Source organism: Homo sapiens, chromosome X (genome assembly GCF_000001405.40).
Source record: "Homo sapiens chromosome X, GRCh38.p14 Primary Assembly".
NCBI lineage: Eukaryota > Metazoa > Chordata > Mammalia > Primates > Hominidae > Homo > Homo sapiens.
In genome coordinates this window covers 65,428,674-65,451,887 of record NC_000023.11, presented here as the reverse complement: position 1 = coordinate 65,451,887, position 23,214 = coordinate 65,428,674, and the positions used below count along the sequence as shown (strand labels likewise).

The 23,214-nt window shown below is 40.7% G+C and overlaps 1 protein-coding gene across 14 annotated transcripts in view, besides 1 other annotated feature; it reads right to left on the bottom strand.

Annotated features, from left to right (window-relative positions):
* The window catches only part of ZC3H12B (zinc finger CCCH-type containing 12B), a 473,062-nt gene that overhangs the window by 56,000 nt on the left and 393,848 nt on the right, over positions 1–23,214 (bottom strand). For 7 of the 14 annotated variants that reach the window (XM_047442076.1, XM_047442079.1, XM_017029484.2 and 4 more), the window contains one exon: positions 5,888–5,982. The exons of 6 other annotated variants lie outside the window; for them this stretch is intronic. The gene's annotated coding sequence lies outside the window, so the exon portion shown is untranslated. The remainder of the gene's footprint in view (positions 1–5,887; positions 5,983–23,214) is intronic. One more of the 14 variants, XM_017029481.2, reaches the window with a different exon arrangement.
* Positions 12,631–13,151: an enhancer, noted in NCBI's record as "NANOG hESC enhancer chrX:64658617-64659137 (GRCh37/hg19 assembly coordinates)". NCBI's record gives its function as "activates a minimal SCP1, AML or CMV promoter by ChIP-STARR-seq in naive H9 embryonic stem cells {active_cell/tissue: H9 hESC(naive)}" and the evidence as "EXISTENCE:reporter gene assay evidence [ECO:0000049][PMID:30033119]".

Below are 23,214 nucleotides of genomic sequence, written 5' to 3'. Positions count from 1 at the left end.
CCTACAGTACTCCAGTGAAACACCAGAGGGAGCAAGACACTATAAGCTCCTGAAAAAGAAACTGGCAAGATTCACTAATAAGGAAATTAAACGCACAAACCCAGAGAAGATGTATCTCTTCTAAAAATGTGAGAAGCCCTCAGAATCTCTAACCAGGCTGAGCTAGTAAAGATCTTCCCATTTACAAAGACATCCCATAAAGACTAGAAGAGGTAGCTGCTTTTTCATATATAACAATGACAACAAAAGGCTGAGCACAGTGGCTGATGCCTGTAATACAAACACTTTGGAAGGCTGAGGCAGAAGGATTACTTAAGGCTGAGTTCAAAAGCAGCCTGAGCAACATAGTGATACCTCCATATCTACATAAAATAAAAATAAAAATAAAGAAAAAATAAAAAGGAACATGAAGAAACAGAGAAACATAGCCCAATCAAAATAGCAATATAAATCTCTAGACACTGATCCTAAAGAAATGAAGACTTATGCATTATCTGACAAAGAATTCAAAGCAATCACTTAAAAGAAGTTCCATACACTACTTGAGAACACACACAACTAAATGATAAGGAACAAATCAAGAATATCAACAAAGAAATAGAAATTATAAAAAAACAAAAACAAAAACAAAAAAATGAGGCTGGGCTTGGTGGCTCACACCTGTAATCCCAGGACTTTGGGATACCGAGGTGTGTGGCTCACTCGAGGTCAGAAGTTCAAGACCAGCTTGGCTAACACGGTGAAACCCCATCTCTACTATAAATACAAAAAAATTAGCCAGGCATGGTGGCATGCGCCTGTAATTCCAGTTGTTTGCGAGGCTGAGGCAGAAGAATCGCTTGAACCCAGGAGGTGGAGCTTGCAGTGAGGTGAGATCGCACCACTGCACTTCAGCCTGGATGAACAAAAGAATTGAATTAATACTATTGCTTTTCACATATATATGTATGTGTATATATATATATGTGTGTGTGTGTATATATGTATATATATACATATATACACATATGTATATATATACATATATACACATATGTATATATATACATATATACACATATGTATATATATACATATATACACATATGTATATATATACATATATACACATATGTATACATATACATATATACACATATGTATATATATATACATATATACACATATGTATACATATACATATATACACATATGTATACATATACATATATACACATGTATACATATACATATATACACATATGTATACATATACATATATACACATATGTATACATATACATATATACACATATGTATACATATACATATATACACATATGTATACATATACATATATACACATATGTATACATATACATATATACACATATGTATACATATACATATATACACATATGTATACATATACATATATACACATATATATACATATATGTATATATATACACATATAAATATATATATGTATATACACACATATATATACATATATATACACATATAAATATATATATGTATATACACACATATATATACACATATATATACATATATATGTATATATATATATATTTTTTTTTTGAGATGAAGTCTTGCTCTGTCGCCCAGGCTGGAAGGCAGTGACATGATTTCAGCTCACTGCAACCTCCAACTCCCGGTTCAAGTAATTCTCCTGCCTCAGCCTCCCAAGTAGCTGGGATTACAGGTGTCTGCAACCACGCCCGGCTAATTTTTGTATTTTTAGTAGAGACAGGGTTTCGCCATCTTGGCCAGGCTGGTCTTGAACTCCTGACCTCACGATCTACCCTCCTCAGCCTCCCAAAGTGTTGGGATTACAGGCGTGAGTTACCACGCCCAGCCTAAAAATATATATTTTTTATTTCAATAGCTTTTGGGGTACAAGTGGCTTTTGGTTACATGAATGAATTGTATGGTGGTGAAATCTGAGATTTTAGCACACTGATCACCTGAGTAGTGTAAATTGAACCCAACATATAGTTTTTTATCTGTTAGTCCCCTCTTACCCTCATGCTTCTGAGTCTCCAAAGTCCATTATATCACTCCATATGCCTTTGTGTATGCATAGCTTAGCTCCCACTTATAAGTGAGAACATACAGTATTTGGCTTTTCATTCCTGAGTTACTTCTCTTAGAATAATGGCCTCCAGCTGCATCCAAGATGCTGCAAAAGACATTTTTTCATTCTCATTTATGGCAGAGTAGTATTCCGTGTTGTAGACATATCAATTTTTTTTTTAATTCTTTTGAGATGGAGTCTCATTCTGTCACCCAGGCTAAAGTGGAGTGGTGTGATCTTGGTTCACTGCAACCTCCACCTCCTGGGTTCAAGAGATTGCCCTGCCTCACCCTCCTGAGTAGCTGGGACTACAGGCATGTGCTATCATGCCTGGCTAATTTTTGTATTATTACTACAGAGGGGGTTTTGCCATGTTGTCCAGGCTGGTCTTGAATCCCTGACCTCAGGTGATCCGCCCGCCTTGGCCTCCCAATGTGCTAGGATTACAGGCGTGAACCACCATGCCTGGCCCACATTTTCTTTTTTTTCTTCAACATGTATTTTAAGTTCAGGGGTATATGTGCAGGACGTGCAGGTTTGTTACATAGATAAACGTGTGCCATGGTGATTTGCTGCACAAATCATCCCACACCAGGTATTAAGCTTATCATCCATTATTCTTCCTGATGCTCTCCCTCTCCTCACCCTACCCTCTCTGATATGTCCTAGTGTGTGTTGTTCCCCACCATGTGTCCATAACACATTTTCTTTTCTTTCTGTTTCTCTTTCTTTCTTTCTTTCCTTCCTTCTTTCTTTCTTTCCTTCCTTCTTTCTTTCTTTCCTTCTTTCCTTCCTTTCTTTCTTTCTTTCCTCTCTTTCTTTCTTTCTCTTTCTTTCTTTCTTTCTTTCTTTTTCTTTCTTTCTTTCTTTTCCTTCTCTTTCCTTCCTTCCTTTCTCTCTTTCTCTCTCTCTTTCTTTCTTTATTTATTTCCCTCCCTCCCTTCCTCCCTTCTTTCCTTCCTCTTTCTCTCTTTCTTTCTTTTTCTTCTTTTTTTGGAGTATCATTCTGTCACCCAGGCTGGAGTGCAGTGGTGTGAATCTTGGTTCACTGCAACCTCCACCTCCTGGGTTCAAGCGATTCTCCTTCCTCAGCCTCCCGAGTAGCTGGGCTTACAGGCATGTGCCACCACGTCCAGCTAATTTTTATATTTTTAGTAGAGATGGGGTTTCACCATGTTGGCCAGGCTGGGCTTAAAATCCTGACCTCAGGCGATCCACCCACGTCGGCCTCACAAAGTGCTGAGATTACAGGCATGAGCCACAGTGCCCGGTCCCACATCTTCTTTATCCACACATTTGTTGATGGGCACTTAGGTTCTTTCTATATCTTTGCAATTGTTAATTGTGCTGTGATAAACATACACGTGCAGGTTTCTTTTTGATATGACTTCTTTTCCTTTAAAGAAGGGGTAGATACCCTGTAGTGGGATTGCTGGATTGAATCATAGTCTACCTTTAATTATTTAAGACATTTCCATAGCATTTTCCATAGAGGTTATAATAATTTGCATTTCTACCAGCAGTGCATAAACTTTGCCTTTTCACCACATCCATGCCAACATCTTTTTTTTTTGAGACAGAGTCTTGCTCTGTCACCCAGGCTGGAGTGCAGTGGTGTGGTCTTGGCTCACTGCAAGCTCTGCCTCCTGGGTTCACGCCATTCTCCTGCCTCAGTCTTCTGAGTAGCTGGGACTACAGGTGCCCACCACCACACCCGGCTAATTTTTTTTTGTATTTTTAGTAGAGACGGGGTTTCACTGTGTTAGCCGGGATGGTCTCGATCTCCTGACCTCGTGATCCACCTGCCTCAGACTCCCAAAGTGCTGGGATTACAGGTGTGAGCCACCGTGCCCGGCCCTTTTAACTTTTCAATAATGGTTATTCTGGCTGGGATAAGGTGGTATCTCATTGTGTGGTATCTCATTGTGGTTTTAATTTGCATTTCCCTCATGATTAGTGATGTTGAGCACTTTTCATATGTTTTTTGGCCATTTGTACATTTTCTTTTGAGAAATGTCTATTCATGTCATTTGTCCACTTTTTGATGGAATTATTATTATTTTTTCTTGCTGATTTGTGTGAGTTCCTTGTAGTTCTGGATATTAGTCCTTCATCAGATGCATAGTTTGCAAATATTTTCTCCCATTCTGTGAGTTGTTTGTTTACTCTGATGATTCTTTCTTTTGCTGTGAAGAAGCTTTTTAGTTTAATTAGGTTTCATTTATTCATTTTTGTTATAGTTGGATTTGCTTTTGGGGTCTTAGTCATAACTTCTTTGCTTACACCAACATTCAGAAGAGTTTTTCCTAGGTTTTCTTCTAGAATTTTTATAGTTTCAGATCTTAGATTTAAGTCTTGGATTTATCTTGAGTTGATTTTTGTAGATGTTCAGAGATAGAGATCTGGTTTCATTCTTCTACATGTCTCTATCCAGTTTTGCCAGCATTATTTATAAAATGGGATGTCCTTGAATTTTTAAATTAAAAAAATCACAAAGACAAACAACAGACTTGATCAAACAGAAAAATAATGGCAAATTTAAAAGACAGGTCATTTGACATTATCTAGTCAGATAAAAAGGAAAAAGAAAAGAAAAAGAGTGAAGACAGTCTACAGAATTTGTGAACCACCATCAAGTGGGTTAATATACATATTATAGAAGTGCAAGAAGGAGAAGAGGGAGATTAGATTGGGAAGGGGGCTTATTTGAAGAAATGATTGCTGAAACAGCCCAAATCTGAAGAATTGGTTCTGAAGAACCAAATAGACATCTAAATTAAGAAGCCCAAAGTACTCCAACAAAAGTTGTCCTAAGGAAGTCCATACTGAAAAGCATTATAATCAAATTGTCAAAAGTGAGAGGCAGAAGACAGAGTAAAATGGCTGAATAGAACCCCCAGTAATTGTCTCCACAACACAGCAACACCAAACTGAACAACTATTGACACAAGAAAGCACTTTCATAAGAACCTCCAATCAGGTGAATGGTCACAGTACCTGGTTTTAACATCATATGAAGGAAAGGGGCACTAAAGAGGATAAGAAAGAAAATCTTGAATTGCGACACCACCCCTTCTGCATTCCTCTGCAGTGTCTGTGAGGCACAGAGAATGAAACTTTGAGTTTGAGGGAGGGTGAATACAGTGATTATGCAACTGTATATTGGAACTCAGTGCTATCCTGTCACAGCGGAAAGCAACACAGGACAGAATTTATCCAGTGCCTGTGAAGGGAGCATTTAAATTAGCTCTAGTCTGAAAGGAATCATCTATCCCACCCAACCATTGGAACCTGAGTTCTGGCTAGCCACACCACCAAGCATTAAAGCGTTTTGGGATCCTAAATAAATTTGAAAGGCAATTCAGGGCATGAGGACTGGAATTCCTGGAGAAGTCCTGGTGCTGTGCTGGGCTTAGATACAGTGGATTTTGGATGCATGTGACCCAGTAAGACACCAGCGGGAACAGCCAAGATAGTGCTTGTGTCACCTCTCTCTTAACCCCAGGCAGTTCAGCTTGCAGCTCTGGAAGAAACTCCTTTCACTTGAGGAAAGAGAGAAAAAGGTAAAGATGACTTTGTCTTGCAACTTGAATGTCAGCTCAGCCCCAGTAAAATAAAGCACCAAGCAGTGTCCTCAGGCCCCCATTCCAGGCCCCAGTTCCCACATGACATTGCTAGACACAATCTGGGCAGAAGGGAACCTGCTGCCTTGAAGGAAAGAACCCAGTCCTGGCAGGATTCATCACCTGCAGACTAAAGAGCCTTTGGGCCTTGAATAAACATCAGCAGTAGCCAGGCAGTACTCACCATGGGCCTTGGGTGAAACCTGGTACTGGGATGGCTTCAGGTGTGACCCAGCACATTCTTAGCTGTGGTGGCAATAGGAAAACACTCTTTCTGCTCTAGGAAAGAAGAGGAAAGAGTAAAAAGCACTTTACCTTGCAACTTGGGTATGAGCTTAGCAACAATAAAATAAAGCAACAAGTAGATTTCTAAAATTCCCGACTCCTAGCCCCAGCTCCCAGACAGCATTTCTAGACCCATTCTGGGCCATTAACAGAATATGCCATCCTCAAGGGAAAGACATAAGCTTGGCTGGATTCACCAACTGCCAACTAAAGAGCCCTTGTGCCTTGAATCAAAATCAGTGGTAGCCAGACAATAGTTGCCACAGACCATGGGTGAGACCCACTACTTTGCTGACTTCAGGTCTGACCCAGTACAGTCCCAGTGGTAGTGGCCTTAGAGATGTTTGTGTAAATCCACTTCTAACTCCAGGGAGCTCATTATGGAAAGAGATACTCCATTTGTTTGGGGGAAAATAAAGGAAGTGAACAAGAGACTCTGCCTGGTAATCCAGGGATTTCTCTTGAATCGTACCCAAGACAACCAAGACTACAGTGACCAAAGACTTAGATCACAACACTCAATTCCCTTTGAATACCTGAAAGCCTTCTCCAGAAAGATGAGAATAAACAAACCAAAGCTGAAGATTACAATAAATGCCTAAGTCTTCAATGCCCAGACATCAAAGAACATCCTCAAGCATCAAGACAATCCAGGAAACATGACTTCACCAAATGAGCTAAATAAGGCACCAGCAACCAATTTCAGAGAGATACAGATATGTGGTCTTTCAAAGAGAGAATTCAAAATAGTTATTTTGAGGAAGCTCAGTGAAATTAAAAATAACACAGAGAAGGAATTCAGAATCCTATCAGATAAATTTAACAAAGAAATAGAAATAATTTTTAAAAACTAAGAGGAAATTTTGGAGCTGAAAAATTCAATTGGTGTACTGAAGAATACATCAGTTTCTCAATAGCAGAATTGATAAAGTGGAAAAAAGAATTAGTGAGCTCGAAGACAAGCTATTTGAGTATACACAGTCAGGGGAGATAAAATAAAAATACTAACAAAAACAACAAAGTATGGCAAAAAGATATAGAAGATAGCCTCAAAAGGGCAAATCTAAGTTATTGGCCTTAAAGAGGAGATAGGGAGAGAGATCAGCATAGAAAGTTTATTCAGTCTCTAGGAAGTTCCAAACTTTTCCACATTTTCCTGTCTTCTTCTGAGCCCTTCAAACTGTTCCAATCTCTGCCTGTTACCTAGTTCCAAAGTTGCTTTCACATTTTCAGGTGTCTTTTCAGTAACACCCCACTCTACCGGTACCAATTTACTGTATTAGTCCATTTTCATGCTGCTGATAAAGATATACCTGAGACTGGGCAATTTACAAAAGAAAGAGGTTTAATGGACTTACAGTTCCACATGGCTAGGGAGTTCCCACAATCATGGTGGAAAGTGAAAGCCATGTCTCACATGTTGGCAGACAAGAGAAGAGAGAATTTGTGCAGGGAAATGCCCGTTTTTAAAACCATCAGGTCTTGTGAGACTTATTCACTACAATGAGAACAGCATGGGACAGACCTGCCCCCATTATTCGATAACCTCCCACCAGGTTCATTTCACAACACATAGGGAATTCAAGATGAGATTTGGGTGGGGACACAGCCAAACCTATCAGCTTGCTTCTTTGCTTTTAAACTCAGTGTGAAGTTGTTATGAGTTTAAAATAATGGGTTATAAGATGTAATTTGCAAGCCTCATGGCAGTCTCAAATAAATAAACCGACAACAAATACACAAAAACAGAAAGCAAAAATTAAAATGTAACACAAGAGAAAATCTTTCTCACAGAGAGGTAGATAAGAAAGAAGGAAGAAAGAGAAGACCACTAAATGAGCAGAAAACAAATAACGAAATGACAGCAGTAAATTCTCAATTATCAATAATAACATTGAACATAAATAGAGCAAACTCTTCAATCAACATACATAGAGTGGCTCAATAGATTAAAAAACAAGTCCCAACTATCTTCTGCCTGCAAGAAACACATTTTACCTGTAAGAACACACATAGATTAAAAATAAAATGATGGAAATAGATACCTAGGTGTTGGGAGCAAGTCCCCCAAAGTCTGGCCATAAACTGGCCCCAAAACTGGCCATAAATACAATCTCTGCAGCAATGTAATATGTCCATAATGGCCATAACACCCAAACTGGAAGGTTGTGGGTTTACAGGAATGAGGGCAAGGAACACCTGGCCCGCCCAGGCTGGAAAACCGCTTAAAGGCATTCTTAAACCACAAACAAAAGCCTGAGTGATCTGTGTCTTAAGGGCATGTTCCTGCTGCAATTAATTTGGCCCATCCTTTCATTTCCCTTAAGGGATACTTTTAGTTAATTTAATATCTATAGAAACAATGCTAATGACTGGTTTGCTGTTAATAATTATGTGGGTAAATCTCTGTTTGGGGCTCTCAGCTCTGAAGGCTGTGAGACCCCTGATTTCCCACTTCACACCTCTATATTTCTGTGTGTGTGTCTTTAATTCCTCTAGCGCCTCTGGGTTAGGGTCGGCCTCTAGGTTAGGGTCTCCCCAGCCGAGCTGGTCTCGGCAAGTGGCGTCCATTCGTGGGGGCTCGAATCCAGGTTGAAGGGGCACCGGAGCGATGGTTGGAATGGAAAACTAGCAGGAGGACACCTGAGTACTCTTAAAGTAATCCCCATGGTGAGTAAGAAGGGGAGCTCGGAAGTGTCAGGGTAACAATGGGACAGATATGGGGTCTGGTTCGTTTCACCTTGGAACTTTTTCACACTGATAATGAGGAGGAACGATTATAGCGAAGTAACAGAAGAGGTTACAGAGCATGTTTATTTGCCAGCTAAAGCTAAAGTGGCAAAGGAAGGAGAGGTTCATCCCTACCCTTCTGCACCCCCTCCTTATTATTTTGAGGAAAATGACCCCCCAAATCTTTCTTTTCCAGAGGACACTGGGTGAAAACTAGTTGCCCCAGTGACTGTTCAAGCAGCGCCTCGAGCGATGGCTCTTAGTTCTATCCAGGCAGGAATTCAGCAAGCTAGACGAGAGGGTGATTTAGAGGCTTGGCAGTTCCCTGTTAGAATACACCCCCCAGATCAAGAGGGAAATATTACAGCTACATTTGAGCCTTTTCCTTTTAAATTACTCAAAAAATTAAAACAAGCAATAAATGAGTATGGACCAGGTTCTCCTTTTGTAATGGGACTGTTAAAGAATGTTACTGTTTCCAGTCGGATAATTCCTACTGACTGGGACACTCTTACTCGAGCTTGTCTAACTCCTGCTCAGTTCTTACAATTTAAAACTTGGTGGGCAGATGAAGCTTCCATTCAGGCTGCTCACAATGCCCAGGCCCAACCTCAGATTAATATAACTGCAGACCAGCTTTTGGGGGTCGACGGCTGGGCTGGTTTAGATGCACAACTGGTCATGCAGGATGATGCCATAGAACGGCTTAGAGGAGTGAGCATTAGAGCTTGGGAAAAAAAATCACTTCAGGTGGAGAACAATACCTTTCCTTTAGTGCTATAAAACAGGGACCCAGAGAACCATATGTTGATTTTATAGCTCGGTTACAGGAGTCTCTTAAAAAGATGATTTCAGATTCGGCTGCTCAGAATATAGTGTTGCAGTTATTAGCTTTCGACAATGCTAATCCCGATTGCCAGGCTGCTCTGCGACCTATCAGAGGGAAAGCACATTTAGTTGATTATATCAAGGCCTGTGATGGTATCGGAGGTAATCTGTATAATGCTACCTTGTTGGCACAGGCAATGGCAGGACTAAAAGTGGATAAAGGAAATACTCCATTTCCTGGAGCTTGTTTTAACTGTGGGAAGCATGGTCATACTAAAAAAGAATGTAGAAAAAATCAGTGAGTCAGGCCACTAGATAGGGGAAAAAAGAAAACTGCTGAGCCTGAAATATGTCCAAAATGTAAAAAAGGAAAACACTGGGCTCATCAGTGTCACTCTAAATTTGATAAAGAAGGGGATCCGATTTCGGGAAACGCCATGAGGGGCCCGTCCCGGGCCCCGTTCTAAACTGGGGCATTTCTGGCTCAGGCCATTCCCTCACCCCTGTACAATGTCTGTCCTCCGCCACAGCTGGTAGTGCCGCAGTAGACTTATGCTGCACAAAAGCTGTGAGCCTTCTGCCTGGGGAACCCCTGCAAAAGGTCCCAACTGGAGTCTGTGGACCCTTACCAGCAGGGACAATGCGATTACTTTTAGGAAGGTCTAGTTCAAGTTTAAAAGGCATACAAATACATACAGGAGTCATTGATTCAGATTACAATGGGGAAATTCAAATTGTTATATCTACGTCTGTTTCCTGGAAAGCAGAGCCAGGAGAGCGCATAGCACAGCTCCTGATTGTGCCATATGTGGGAATGGGAAGAAGTGAAATTAAATGAACAGGAGGATTTGGAAGCACAAATAAACAAGGCAAAGCAGCTTATTGGGTAAATCAAATTACTGATAAACATCCTACCTGTGAAATAACTATTCAAGGAAAGAAATTTAAAGGTTTGGTAGATACAAGAGCAGACATTTCAATCATTTCTCTACAGCACTGGCTGTCTGTATGGCCAATTCATCTCGCTCAATTTAACATAGTTGGAATTGGTAAAGCCGCTGAAGCATATCAAAGTAGTTATATTTTGCATTGGGAGGGGCCTGATGGACAACCTGGGACTATTCAACCAATTATAACTTCTGTACCTATAAATTTATAGGGAAGAGATTTATTACCGCAATGGGAGGCACAAGTTCTAATTCCAGAACAATTGTATAGCCCACAAAGTCAACATACAATGCATGAAATTGAGGTATGTCCCTGGCATGGGACTAGAAAAAAATTTGCAAGGTTTGAAAGAACTGCTTCAAGCAAAAAAACAAAGTTCCTGCCAAAGGTTAGGAAAAAAATTTTGATGGCAGCCATTGTTAAGCCTCCAGAACCTATACTTTTAAAATGGTTAACAGATAAGCCAATTTGGATAGAACAATGGCAGCAAAGTAAAGAAAAACTGGAGGCTTTAGAGAAATTAGCTGCTGAACAATTAGAAAATGGGCACATAGCTCCAACATTTTCTCCTTGGAATTCTCCAGTTTTCGTAATTAAGAAAAAATCAGGTAAATGAAGAATGTTAACTGACTTAAGAGCCATCAATTCAGTTACACATCCTATGGGAGCATTACAGCCAGGATTGCCTTCTCCTGCTATAATTCCAAAAAATTGGCCTTTAATAGTCATAGATTTAAAAAACTGTTTCTTTACTATCCCTTTGGCTGAGCAAGACTGTGAACGGTTTGCATTTACAATTCCTGCAGTAAACAACCTGCAGCCTGCTAAGCGTTTTTATTGTTTTATAGATGGGTCTAGTAATGGTAAAGCTTCTTATTCTGGATCAAAAAGTAAAGTTTTCCAGACATCCTATACTTCAGCTCAAAGAGTGGAGCTTGTAGCTGTAATTGAGGTATTCACTGCTTTTGATATGCCTATTAACGTGATTTCTGATTCTTCATACATGGTTCATTCCACACAGTTAATTGAAAATGCTCAGTTACGATTTCATACAGATGAAAAACTGATGACTTTATTTATCCAATTGCAAACAGCAGTTAGAAGTAGAATGCACCCTTTTTACATCACTCACATTGGGGCTCATACACCTCTTCCAGGACCTTTGACTGAAGGGAATCAAATGGCTGATCGCCTAGTTGCTAATGCAATATCTAATGCTAGAGACAAGAAAAACTGGAGGCTTTAGTTACGATTTCATATAGATGAACAACTGATGACAAAAACAAAAAAGGAGGAAAGATAGGGATTACAGGACAGCCCATACACAGTTGAATCTAGCATTATTTGGTGAAAAGATCCAATAACAAAAAGTTGGGAAATAGGTAAAATAATAACTTGGGGTAGAGCTTATGCTTGTATTTCTCCAGGCCAAAATCAACAGCCGATTTGGATACCACCAAGACACCTGAAACCTTATCATGAGCCAGATGCCAAGGAAGAGACTCCGGAAGGATCCCCAGTTGCAGCCATGTTGAGACTGACACTGAGGAGGACCCCAACTGTCAGGAGGAACACCTGTCGAACACAGCCACCCACCTAAGGACAGATCAAGAAGCTGTCACAGATGGCAGAAGAAAACCTGAGGAAAGCGGGACAACCAGTCACAATGAATAATTTAATGGTAGCTATGATAGCAGTTATCACCACTGCCATGAGTATTCCTTCAATAAGGGCTGGTAATAATGCCTGGATGCAATCATTCTATGACACAGTAACACATGCTTTCTGATCTCAGTATTTACCATAATAAATCTGCTCCTATAATTGAGGCATACTGCCCTCAAAAACCTATTTGGAAACAGGATTGGACCCAGTTAGAAAAAATGAACGTACTTGTTTAGGAAGATTGCTTTGCAGAACAGGCAGAGGTGCTGCACAAACGATTCCTATGGAATCATTATTAATTGGTCCCATAAGGGGATGTTTAGATTGAATTGCACCTCTCAGTCTGCGTGCCACTGCCACACTATGTTCAGATGATCTGAACAAAATGGTAAGATGGTAGGTATAATAAGAAGTATGGCAAAAGTTCTTATTATCTAGAACCATGGTGGTATAGTGGCACCTCAACCTCAAATGATATGGCTGGCTCTAGGAGCTTAACATAAGGATGTAAAATTAAAAGAACAAATATTTAAAGCATCCCAGGCACACTGACCTTAATGCCAGGAACTGGAGTGCTTGAAGGAGCTGCAGACAAATTAGCAGCTAGTAACCTATTAAAATGGATAAAAACACTTGGAAGCTCTGTGATTTCAATGACTGTGCTTTTAATCTCTGTTGTTTGTCTTTGTATAGTCTGCAGATGTGGATCCCGACTCCTGAGAAAAGTAGCTCACCATGACAAAGCTGCCCTTGCTTTTATCTCTTTGCAAATCAAAGAAGGGAGACATGTTGGGAGCAAGCCTCCCAAAGTCTGGCCATAAACTGGCCCCAAAACTGGCCATAAATACAATCTCTGCAGCAATGTAACATGTCCATAATGGCCATAATGTCCAAGCTGGAAGGTTGTGGGTTTATGGGGATGAGGGCAAGGAACACCTGGCCCGCCCAGGGCGGAAAACCGCTTAAAGGCATTCTTAAGCCACAAACAAAATCCTGAGCGATCTGTGTCTTAAGGGCGTGTTCCTGCTGCAATTAATTTGGCCCATCCTTTCATTTCCCTTAAGGGATACTTTTAGTTAATTTAATATCTATAGAAACAATGCTAATGACTGGTTTGCTGTTAATAAATATGTGGGTAAATCTCTGTTTGGGGCTTTCAGCTCTGAAGGCTATGAGACCCCTGATTTCCCACTTCACACCTCTATATTTCTGTGTGTGTCTTTAATTCCTCTAGCACCTCTGGGTTAGGGTCTCCCCGACTGAGCTGGTCTTGGCATTAGGAATAAAGTTAAAGAAATGAAGGACCTTTTTAGTGAAAACTATAAAACATTGATGCAAGAAATTGAAGAGGACATAAAAAAAGGAAAGATATTCCATATCATGGATTGGAAGAATATTGTGAAAATGTCCATACTACATCAAGTAAGGTACAGATTCAATGCAATCCCTATCAAAGTATCAATGACATTCTTCACAGAAATAAAAAAAAATACTTTAAAAATGTATATGGAGACACAAAGGACCCAGAATAGCCAAAGCTATCCTAAGCATACAGAATGAAACTGAAAGAATCACATTGCCTGACTTCAAAATATACTACAGAGCTATATTTAAAAAAACAGCATAATACTGCCACAGAATCAGACACATAGACCAATGACACAGAATAGAGAAACCAGAAATAAAACTAGACATTTGACAAAGGTGTCAAGAACATATAATGGGGAAAGGACAATCTCTTCAATAAGAGGTACTGGGAAAACTGGATGTCCATATGCAGAAGAATGAAACTAGACTCTTATCTCTTGCTGCATACAAAAAGGAAGATTAAAGACTTAAATATAAGACCTCAAACTATGAAACTATTAAAAGAGAACATTGAGGAAACTCTCCAAGACATTGGTCTGGGCAAAGATTTCTTGAGTAATACCCCATAAGCATAGGCAATAAAAGCAAAAATGGATGAATGGGGTTATTTCAAGTTAAAAAGCTTCCACACAGAAAAAAAAGAAAGAGTCAACGAAGTGAAGAGACAACCCATAGAATGAGAGAAAATATTTGAAAACTTCATCTGACAAGGGATTAATAACCAGAATATATAAGGAGCTCAAACAATTCAATAGAAAAAAATCTAAAAATATAATTAAAAATTAGGCAAAAGATTTGAATAGACATTTCTTAAAAGAAGACATACAAATGCCAAACAGACATATGAAAATGTGCTTGACATTATTGAAGATCAGAGAAATGTAAATTAAAACTTCAATGCGATATCATCTCACCCTAGTCAGAATGACTTCACCTAAGCCAGGCATAGAAAGACAAATATTGCATGTTTGCAGTTATTTGTTGGAATTAAAACTTAAAACAGTTACATTCATGGAGATGGAGGGTAGAAGAATTATTATCAGGGGTTGGGAAGGGTATAGAGCAGGGGAGTGGGGATGGTTAATGGGTACAAAAATATCATTAGAATGAGTTGGATGTGGTGGCTCACACCTGTAATCCCAGCACTTTGGGAGGCCGAGGCCGGTGGATCACTATAGGTCAGGTTTCAAGACCAGCCTGGCCCACATGGTGAAACCCTGTCTCTACTAAAAATACAAAAATTAGCTGGGCGTGGTGGTGCACACCTGTAATCCCAGCTACTTGGGAGGCTGAGGCAGGTGAATTGCTTGAACCCAGAAGGTGGAGGCTGCAGTGAGCCAAGATCCCACCACTGTACTACAGCCAGGGTGATGGAGCAAGACTCCATCTCAAATAATAATAATAACAATAATAATAATAATAAAATGAATAAGATCTAGTATTTGATAGTACAACAGGATGACTAAAGCCAATAACCATTTGTTGTACGTTTTAAAATAACTGAAAGAGTATAATTGGAATGTTCGTAACACAAAGAAATGATAAATGCTTGATATGATGAATACTCCATTTACCCCAATGTGATTATTACACATTGTAGTCCTGTATGAAAATATCTTAGGTACCCCATAAATATATACACCTACTATGTACCCACACAGTTTAAAAATCAAAAGTTTTTTTAAAAAGTGAAGGGCCAAGAATCTTGAAAGCAGCAGGAGAAAAATCGCTTATCACGTATATGAGCTCCCATTTGATGGTTAATTTCAGGTGTCAATTTGACAGTGTAAAAGCATACTAAGATAGCTGGTAAAGAATTATTTCTGGTTGTAGCTGTAAGGGTGTTTCCAAAAAAGGTCGGCATTTAAATTGGTGGGCTGAGGAAGGAAGATCCACCTCACCCAATATGTGTGGACACCATGCAATTGGTAAAAAGTCCAGATAGAACAGAAAACAAAGTTGAATTTATTCTCTGATCTGGAGGTGGGACATTCATCTTCTCCTACCTTTGGACATTGGGCCTTGTGGTTTGATATGGTTTGGCTTTGTGTCCCCACCAAAATCCCATGTTGAGTTGTGGTTCCCAGTGTTGGAGGAGGGGCCTAGTGGGAGGTTATTGAATCATGGGGGCAGACATCCCCCTTGCTGTTCTTGTGACAGAATTCTCACAAGATCTGGTTGTTTGAAAACTGTGTGGTACTTCCCTCTTTACTCTCTCTTCCTCCTGCTACAGCCACGTAAGACGTGCTAGCTTCCCCTTGGCTTCTGGCTTCTGGCATGATTGTAAGTTTCCTGAGGCCTCCCCAACCATGCTTCCTGTACAGCCTGTGTATCCATGAGTCAATTTAACCTGTTTCTTTGTAAATTACTCAGTCTCAGGTAGTTATTTGAAGCAATGTGAGAATGGACTAACACAAGGTTCTCTTGCTTTTGGCCTCTGGGACCTGCATGAGCGGCTCCCCATATTCTCAGACACTTAGCCTTTGATTGAAGAGTTACACCATTGGTTCTTCTGATTCTGACTTTCAGATTTGAATTGGGCTAACCTATTGTCTTCTCTGGTTCTCTAGCTCACATACAGTATACTGTGGAACTTCTTAGCCTCCTTAATAGTGTGAGCCCATTTTCATAATAAATCCCCTCTCATCTATCTGACTGTCTATCTATCTATCTATCTATCTATCTATCTATCTATCTATCTATCTATCTATCTATCCTATTGGTTCTGTTTCTCTGGAGAACGTTGACTAATAGAGTTTGGCACCAGGAGTGGTTCTATAGAAATAAAATTTTAAGAATGAGTTTTGTAAATTGGTTTTGGAAGATTTTTAGAACTGGCTCTCTAATGTCATCACACTTAAAAATGCTAAGGACTCTATTTCCAATAGTACAGAAAGCACTGATTGTCCATTGTATGAACTGTATATAAAGATACACAAAATATTTGCCTTTGATATTCCTAATCAACCACTTATAAGAGGCAAGAAACTTAGTGACTCTGTATATGATACTTTCAAGTATTTGTGGAAAACTAAGAGATATAATGATGGTTGTTTGCTCCTAATGTTGCTGGATGAAGTGATAAAATAAAAGGATTAGCTCAGGGATTTAAATTCCTAGCTCAAGCACTGTATAAATAATCTAACAGCTTCTAGGTGTGCCCTGAAGGATAATCTTATCTCCTATTATTGTTAAAAATCAGAACACAGTTCCTCATCATGCAAAACTGTTAAAAATCAAACACAGTTCCTCATCATGCAAATTGTTGAATTACAATGAAAGATGAACCCCCAACCTTGTAGGCTGTCTACTGTTAAAGTGAGGGCTTTGATTGAGAAATAGTAGGATTCTGTAAGTTGGGAAGGAGATGTGTGAGAAGATAAAGCTGGGGCACAGCTTCTACATTCTGATAAGCCCTTTTTTTCTTTTTTCCAGAGAAAGTGCCTTCTCCACTCCTAGTAGCAGCAGCCTCCACATTCCTAGTGATATTGGCCTTACCACCTCTGCCTGAGGGATCTAACTGCACTGCCTGAAAAGACAGTAATGGCCTCCAGGGAGGCAGTTATCAAGCCAGACAATGATTCTCCTCAGGACTCACCCACTACCCTTCTTTTCTTCTAGACCCATAACTAGACTCAAGTTCTAGCAGGCCCCTATAGACAAGGTACAAAGTGTGACACATGAGTAGTTTCAGCACACTGCAAAGAACTACTTGAGTCTTCTAATTTATACAAGTGAAAATCTGGGTAAAATGTAATAACATGGAAATTAAGTGTATGGGATAATGATGGAAGGAACATAAAGTTAGATCAGACCAAATTTACTGTAAGAAGCCCACTTAGCAGTGATTTTGCATTTAATACTGCAGTTCAGGGAGTTAGAAAGGGCTCTAACAATTTGTTTATTTGTTTAACTGAATGTGCATTAAAAAATGGTCCACTATGAACCAGTTGGAGATGCCCAATCTCCCTTGTTTTAACATAGAGGAAGGGATTCAAAGGCTTAGGAAGATTGGAATGCTACAGTGGATTTGTCACTTAAAACCTAATCATTTATACTGGGAGGGTCCAGAAAACATATATTTTACCAATACTATGAGAAATATATTTGTGAGGGGAACCCCAGAACCTTGATGAGCTCTGTGGTTTCTTTTCTCTGCAGGCCAGACCTTACAGTGTGAACTTTAGTCACTCAAATGAAAAACTTAAATGTAATGGGAGTAATAGGATCCCAAGGAGGCAGGAGCCAAGTAGCAGCACTCAACTGCCAAAGACAAGATTGGCATACTTACTATTATGGATATCAGAGTCAGAAAAAGAATCAGGATAGCGTGACTTACATGGATCTATGGCATCGATCATGGTATTACTGGAAGTGAAATAGATAAAAAGCCTACTAAAGTCTTACTTGACCAATACGAGGAGAAAACTTCCATGTCAATTAAAGAAAAGTTTCACTCAAAGCATAAAATCAGAGAATCATGACCCTTCAATCAATTCTCAGAATTCAGACAGCTTACAGAAACAGAAACTCTTGAATGAAGGGTAGGCCAGCTCCTCATGATGAAGAGCACAAGATACATTACTAAAAATATATACCTTTAGTCTTTCTCCCAGCCTTCCCCAAAGGGTCCTATGGCCATTTACCAGGGAAACTGTACATTGGGTAAAAGAAAATAATCAGACTTTCCAGCGACTACTAGACATTAAATCTGAAGTGATCCTAATTCTAGGAGACTAAAATTGTGGTTTATAAGATTAGGAGCTTTAGAGGTCAGGAAATCAATCGAGTTTTAGCTTAGATTAATCTCACAATGGGCCCAGTGGATCTTTGAACTCATCCTGTGATTAGTTCCCCAGTTCCAGAATGCATAACTGGAATAGACATACTTAGCATCTAGCAGAATCCCCACATTAGTTCTCTAACCTGTGAAGTGAAGCTTATTATGGTGTGAAAGGCCAAATGGAAGCCATTAGACCTGCCTCTACCCATGATAATAGTAAACCAAAAGCACTACTGGATTTCAGGTGGTATTGCAGAGATTAGTGCCATCATCAAAGACTTGAAAGATGCAGGGGTGGTGACTCTCATCGCATCACTATTCAACTGGCCTATTTGCCCAGTGAAGAAGACAGACGAATCCAGGAGAATGACAGAAGATTATTATAAACTTAAAACAAGTGGTAACTCAAATTCAAGCTGCTGTACCAGATGTGGTTTTATTGCTACAGCAAATGAACACATATCCTGGTACCTGGTATGCAGCTAATAACTTGGCAAATGCCTTTTTCTCCGTATCTCTCCATAAGACCCACAAGAAGCAGTTTGCTTTCAGCTGGCAAAGCCAGTAATACAACTCTACTGTTCTACTTCAGGGGTATATCAACTCTCCAATCCTATGTCCTAATTTAGTTTGCAGGGATCTTGATTTCTGTCTTCTTCCACTAGATACCACACTGGTCTACTATACTGATGACCTTATACTGATTGGACATAGGAGCAAAAAGTGGCAATGACTCTAGACTTATTGGTAAGACATTTGCATGCAGAGGGTGGTAAATGAATTTGTCCTTCTACCCAAGTCAAATTTCTTGGGGTCCAGTGGTGTGAGGCATGTCAAGATATTCCTTCTAAGGTAAAGGATACATTGTTGCATCTGGCCCATTCTACAACTGAGAAAGAAGCATAATGTCTAGGGGGCTCATCTGGATTTTAGAAGTTACAAATTCCAAATTTGGTTGTCTTATTCTGGTTCATTTATGGGGTGGCCCAAAAACCTGCTAGTTCTGAGTGGGGCCCAGAACAGGAGAAGGTTCTCCAATATCATCAGGTTGCCCTCCAAGTTTCTCTTCCACATGAGCCATAATATATGGCAGATGCAAAGGTGCTTGAGGTGTCAGTAGCAGATAGAGATGCTGTTTGGAGTATGTGGCAGGCTGTTATACATGATTTGCTGTGCAGGCCTTTAGAATTTTGGAGCAAGTCACTGCCATAATCCACAAATAACTACTCTCTTTTGGGAGATCACTCTTGGCCTGCTACTGGGTCTGAGGAGAAACTAAATGCTCAACCATAAGTCACCAAGTTACCATGCGACCTGGGCTGCCTATCATGAATGGAGTATTATCTTACCCACCAAGCCACAGAGTTGAACATATACAGCAGTACTCCATCATAAAATGGAAGTGGCATATATGTGACCAGCTGCAAACAGGTTCTAAAGGCATAAGTAAGTTATATAAAAAAGTGGCCCTAATACCCATGGTGTCTACTCCTGCTGTCCTGTCTTCTCTCTCTCAGCTTATACCTGTGTCCTCATGGGGAGTGACCTAGGTTCAATTGACAAAAGAAGAGAAGACTCAGGCATGGATTACAGATGGTTCTTCATGATACACATGCACCACTCAAAAGTGAACAGCTGCAGCATAACAGCCCATTTCTGGAACATTCCTGGAAGACAGTGGTAAAAAACAAACCTTCCCAGTGGGCAGAAACTTAGACACAGCACTGTACTTTGTTGTTAATTTTGCTTGAAAGGAGAAATGGCCAGACGTGTGATTACATAACAATTCATGGGCTATAGTCAATGGTTTGGTGAGATAATCAGGGACTTGAAAGACATATGATTGAGAAATTGGTGACAAAGAAATGTGGGGAATAATTACATAGATAAATCTCTCGGAATGGGCAAAGAATGTGAAGATGTGGCCCATGTGAATGCTCATCAAAGTGTGATCTCACTAGAGGATAATTTCAATAATCAAGTAGATAGAATGACTCATTTTGTAAATATCCATCAGCATCTTTCACCAGCCACCCCTATAATTGCCCATTGGGCTCATAAACAAAGTTGGTGTTGGTGAAAAGGATGAAGATTATGCATCAGGTGAGCAACATGAACTGCAACTCACCAAGCCCAACTTGGCTAAGGCCACCACTGAGTCCCCAATCTGCCAGCAACAAAAACAAATACAAACCTCTGATATGACAACATTCCCAGAGTAATCAGGCATCTACTTGGTGGCAAGTTGATACACTTGACTGCTTCTATCATGGAAGGAGCAGTATTTCATCCTTACTGGAATAGACACTTACCCTGGATGTGGATTTACTTTCCATATAGTCAATGTTTCTGCCAGAACTACCATCCATGGACTTACAGAATGCCTTAATCACCATCATGGTATTCCACACAGCAATGCTTCTGACCAAAGAACCCACTTCACAAGAAAAGAAGTAGGTAATAAGCTCATGCTTAGATATTTCTTTTCACTGTGCATGTCTTACCATGTTCCCTACCATCTTGAAGTAGCTGGCTTGATAAAACAGAGGAATGGGGGGAGTTGGCCAAAGTGGCCAATTAGAAGCAGCTGCAGTCCATGGCACTCATGGAGAGGAACAAAATGGGTGAGTGAATACAGCACCATCAACTGAAATATCCTGATTCTTGCATTGGGACTGATTAGGCAAACAACTCAACCTATGGAGAATGAAGAAAAGCAGGATGGGGTGATGGCCCACCTGGGAGTAACATGGAGCCAAGTGAACCCCCATCCTCAGCCAAAAGAAGTGATGAGTGCAATAGCAAAGACTTGGAACCAACCCAAATGTCCATCAATGATAGACTGAATTAAGAAAATGTGGCACATATACACCATGGAATACTATGCAGCCATAAAAAAGGATGAGTTCATGTCCTTTGTAGGGACATGGATGAAGATGGACACCATCATTCTCAGCAAACTATTGCAGGGACAAAAAACCAAACACCGCATGTTCTCACTCATAGGTGGGAATTGAACAATGAGAACACTTGGACACAGGAAGGGGAACATCACACACCGAGGCCTGTTGTGGGGTGGGGGGAGGGGGGAGGGATAGCATTAGGAGATATAACTAATGTAAATGACGAGTTAACGGGTGCAGCACACCAACATGACACATGTATACATATGTAACAAGCCTGCACATTGTGCACATGTACCCTAGAACTTAAAGTTTAAAAAAAAAAAAAAAGAAGTGGTGAGTGATTGTGCAACCCTGCCAGGAAACCATGCTTCTCCCATGGATCTTTGCAACCTGTGGATCAGGAGATCCCCTTGTGAGCCCACACTATGAGGGCCTTGGCTCCAACACACAGATCTGTGTGGACTCTTGGCAGAGCAGCTGCTCAGGCACACACAGAGACCCATGAGCTTTACATAATCTGGCCCCAAGATTTCCAACAAATGTGTGTGCAACACAGGCAAGGTGGGAGGTTTGTACATACCCCTAGGAAGGGGGCTGAATCCAGGGAGCCAAGCAGCATAATTCTGCAGGCCCCCTTTCCATGGCACCTCACAAGATAAGAACCCCTGGCTTGGAATTTCAGCCAGCCAATGGCAACTGGGTGGAGTCTGCCTGAGATTAGAGGGAGCTCCTGGTGGGAGAGGTGGCCACCATCTCTGTGGCCTAGTTGACTCAGCCATTCAAGACTGCTGGCTTTGGAGAGTCCAAGTAGTCTGAATGAGAAAGGGATCCCTCTAATGAAGCAGAGCTGCTTTACGAGATTATGGCTAGACTGCTTCTTTAAGCAGGACCTGATCCATTCCTCTTCACTGAATGGGACCTCCCTGCCAGGGCTTCAGCCACTCTAGCCATTTATCTATGGACAGAGCTCTGAACTCTCCCTGGGACAGAGACCCCAAAGAGACGGGTGGTCTCATGGTGAACAGTCTCTTCAGTTTGGTTGACTCAGCCACTCCAGCCTGCCAGCTTTGGAGAATCCAAATGGTCCAGGTGAGAAAGCCCCCCACCCCCTTCATTGCAGCACAGCTGCTTTGCCAGATTTTGGCCAGACTGCTTCTTTAAGTGGGACCCCAATCTATTCCTCCTTACCGGTTGGAACCTCCCAGACAGGGCTTCAGCCATCACAGCCAGTTTTCTACAGACAGAGCTCTGATCTCTCTCTGGAATGGAGTGCATGGGGGATGGGGCAGGCTGCCACCTTGGCTGTTCCAGCTTCTCTGTCAATCTAGCCTGTGGGCCCTGGAGAGCCCATATCAATTGGGGGCTGAAGAGATCACCAACACAGCATGCCTGCTCTACCCAAAAGCAGCCAGATTGCTTCTTTAAGTGGTCCCTCATCCTGTTCCTCCTGAATGTATGAGATCTTTCAACAGAGGTTTTCAACCACTCCTATAGGCATGTTCAGGCTGGCAATAGGGCAGTAACCTCCTGGGATGGAACTTCCAGAGGAAGGAGCAGGCTGCCATCTTTGCTATTTCACAACCTTCACTGGTGATACCACCAGGTAGGAAAAAAACCGAGGCAACTAGGGTCTGGAGTGGAACTCCAGCAAACTGCAGCAGCACTACGGAAGAGTGGCCTGACTGCTAAAACAAAAACAAACAGAAAATAACAACAACAACAGCATTAACAAAAAGACTGCCCAAAACCCCATTCAAAGGTCAGCAACCTTAAAAATTAAAGGTAGATAAGCCCACAAGGATAAAAAAGAATTAATGCAAAAATGCCAAAAACTTAAAAAGCCAGAGTGCCCCTTCTCCTCCAAATGACCTCTCCAGGAAGAGCTCAGAACTGGGCTGAGGCTGAGATGGCTGAAATAACAGAAGTAGGCTTCAGAAGGTGGGTAATAACAAACATCACTGAGCTAAAGGAACATGTTGTAACCCAATGCTGGAAGCT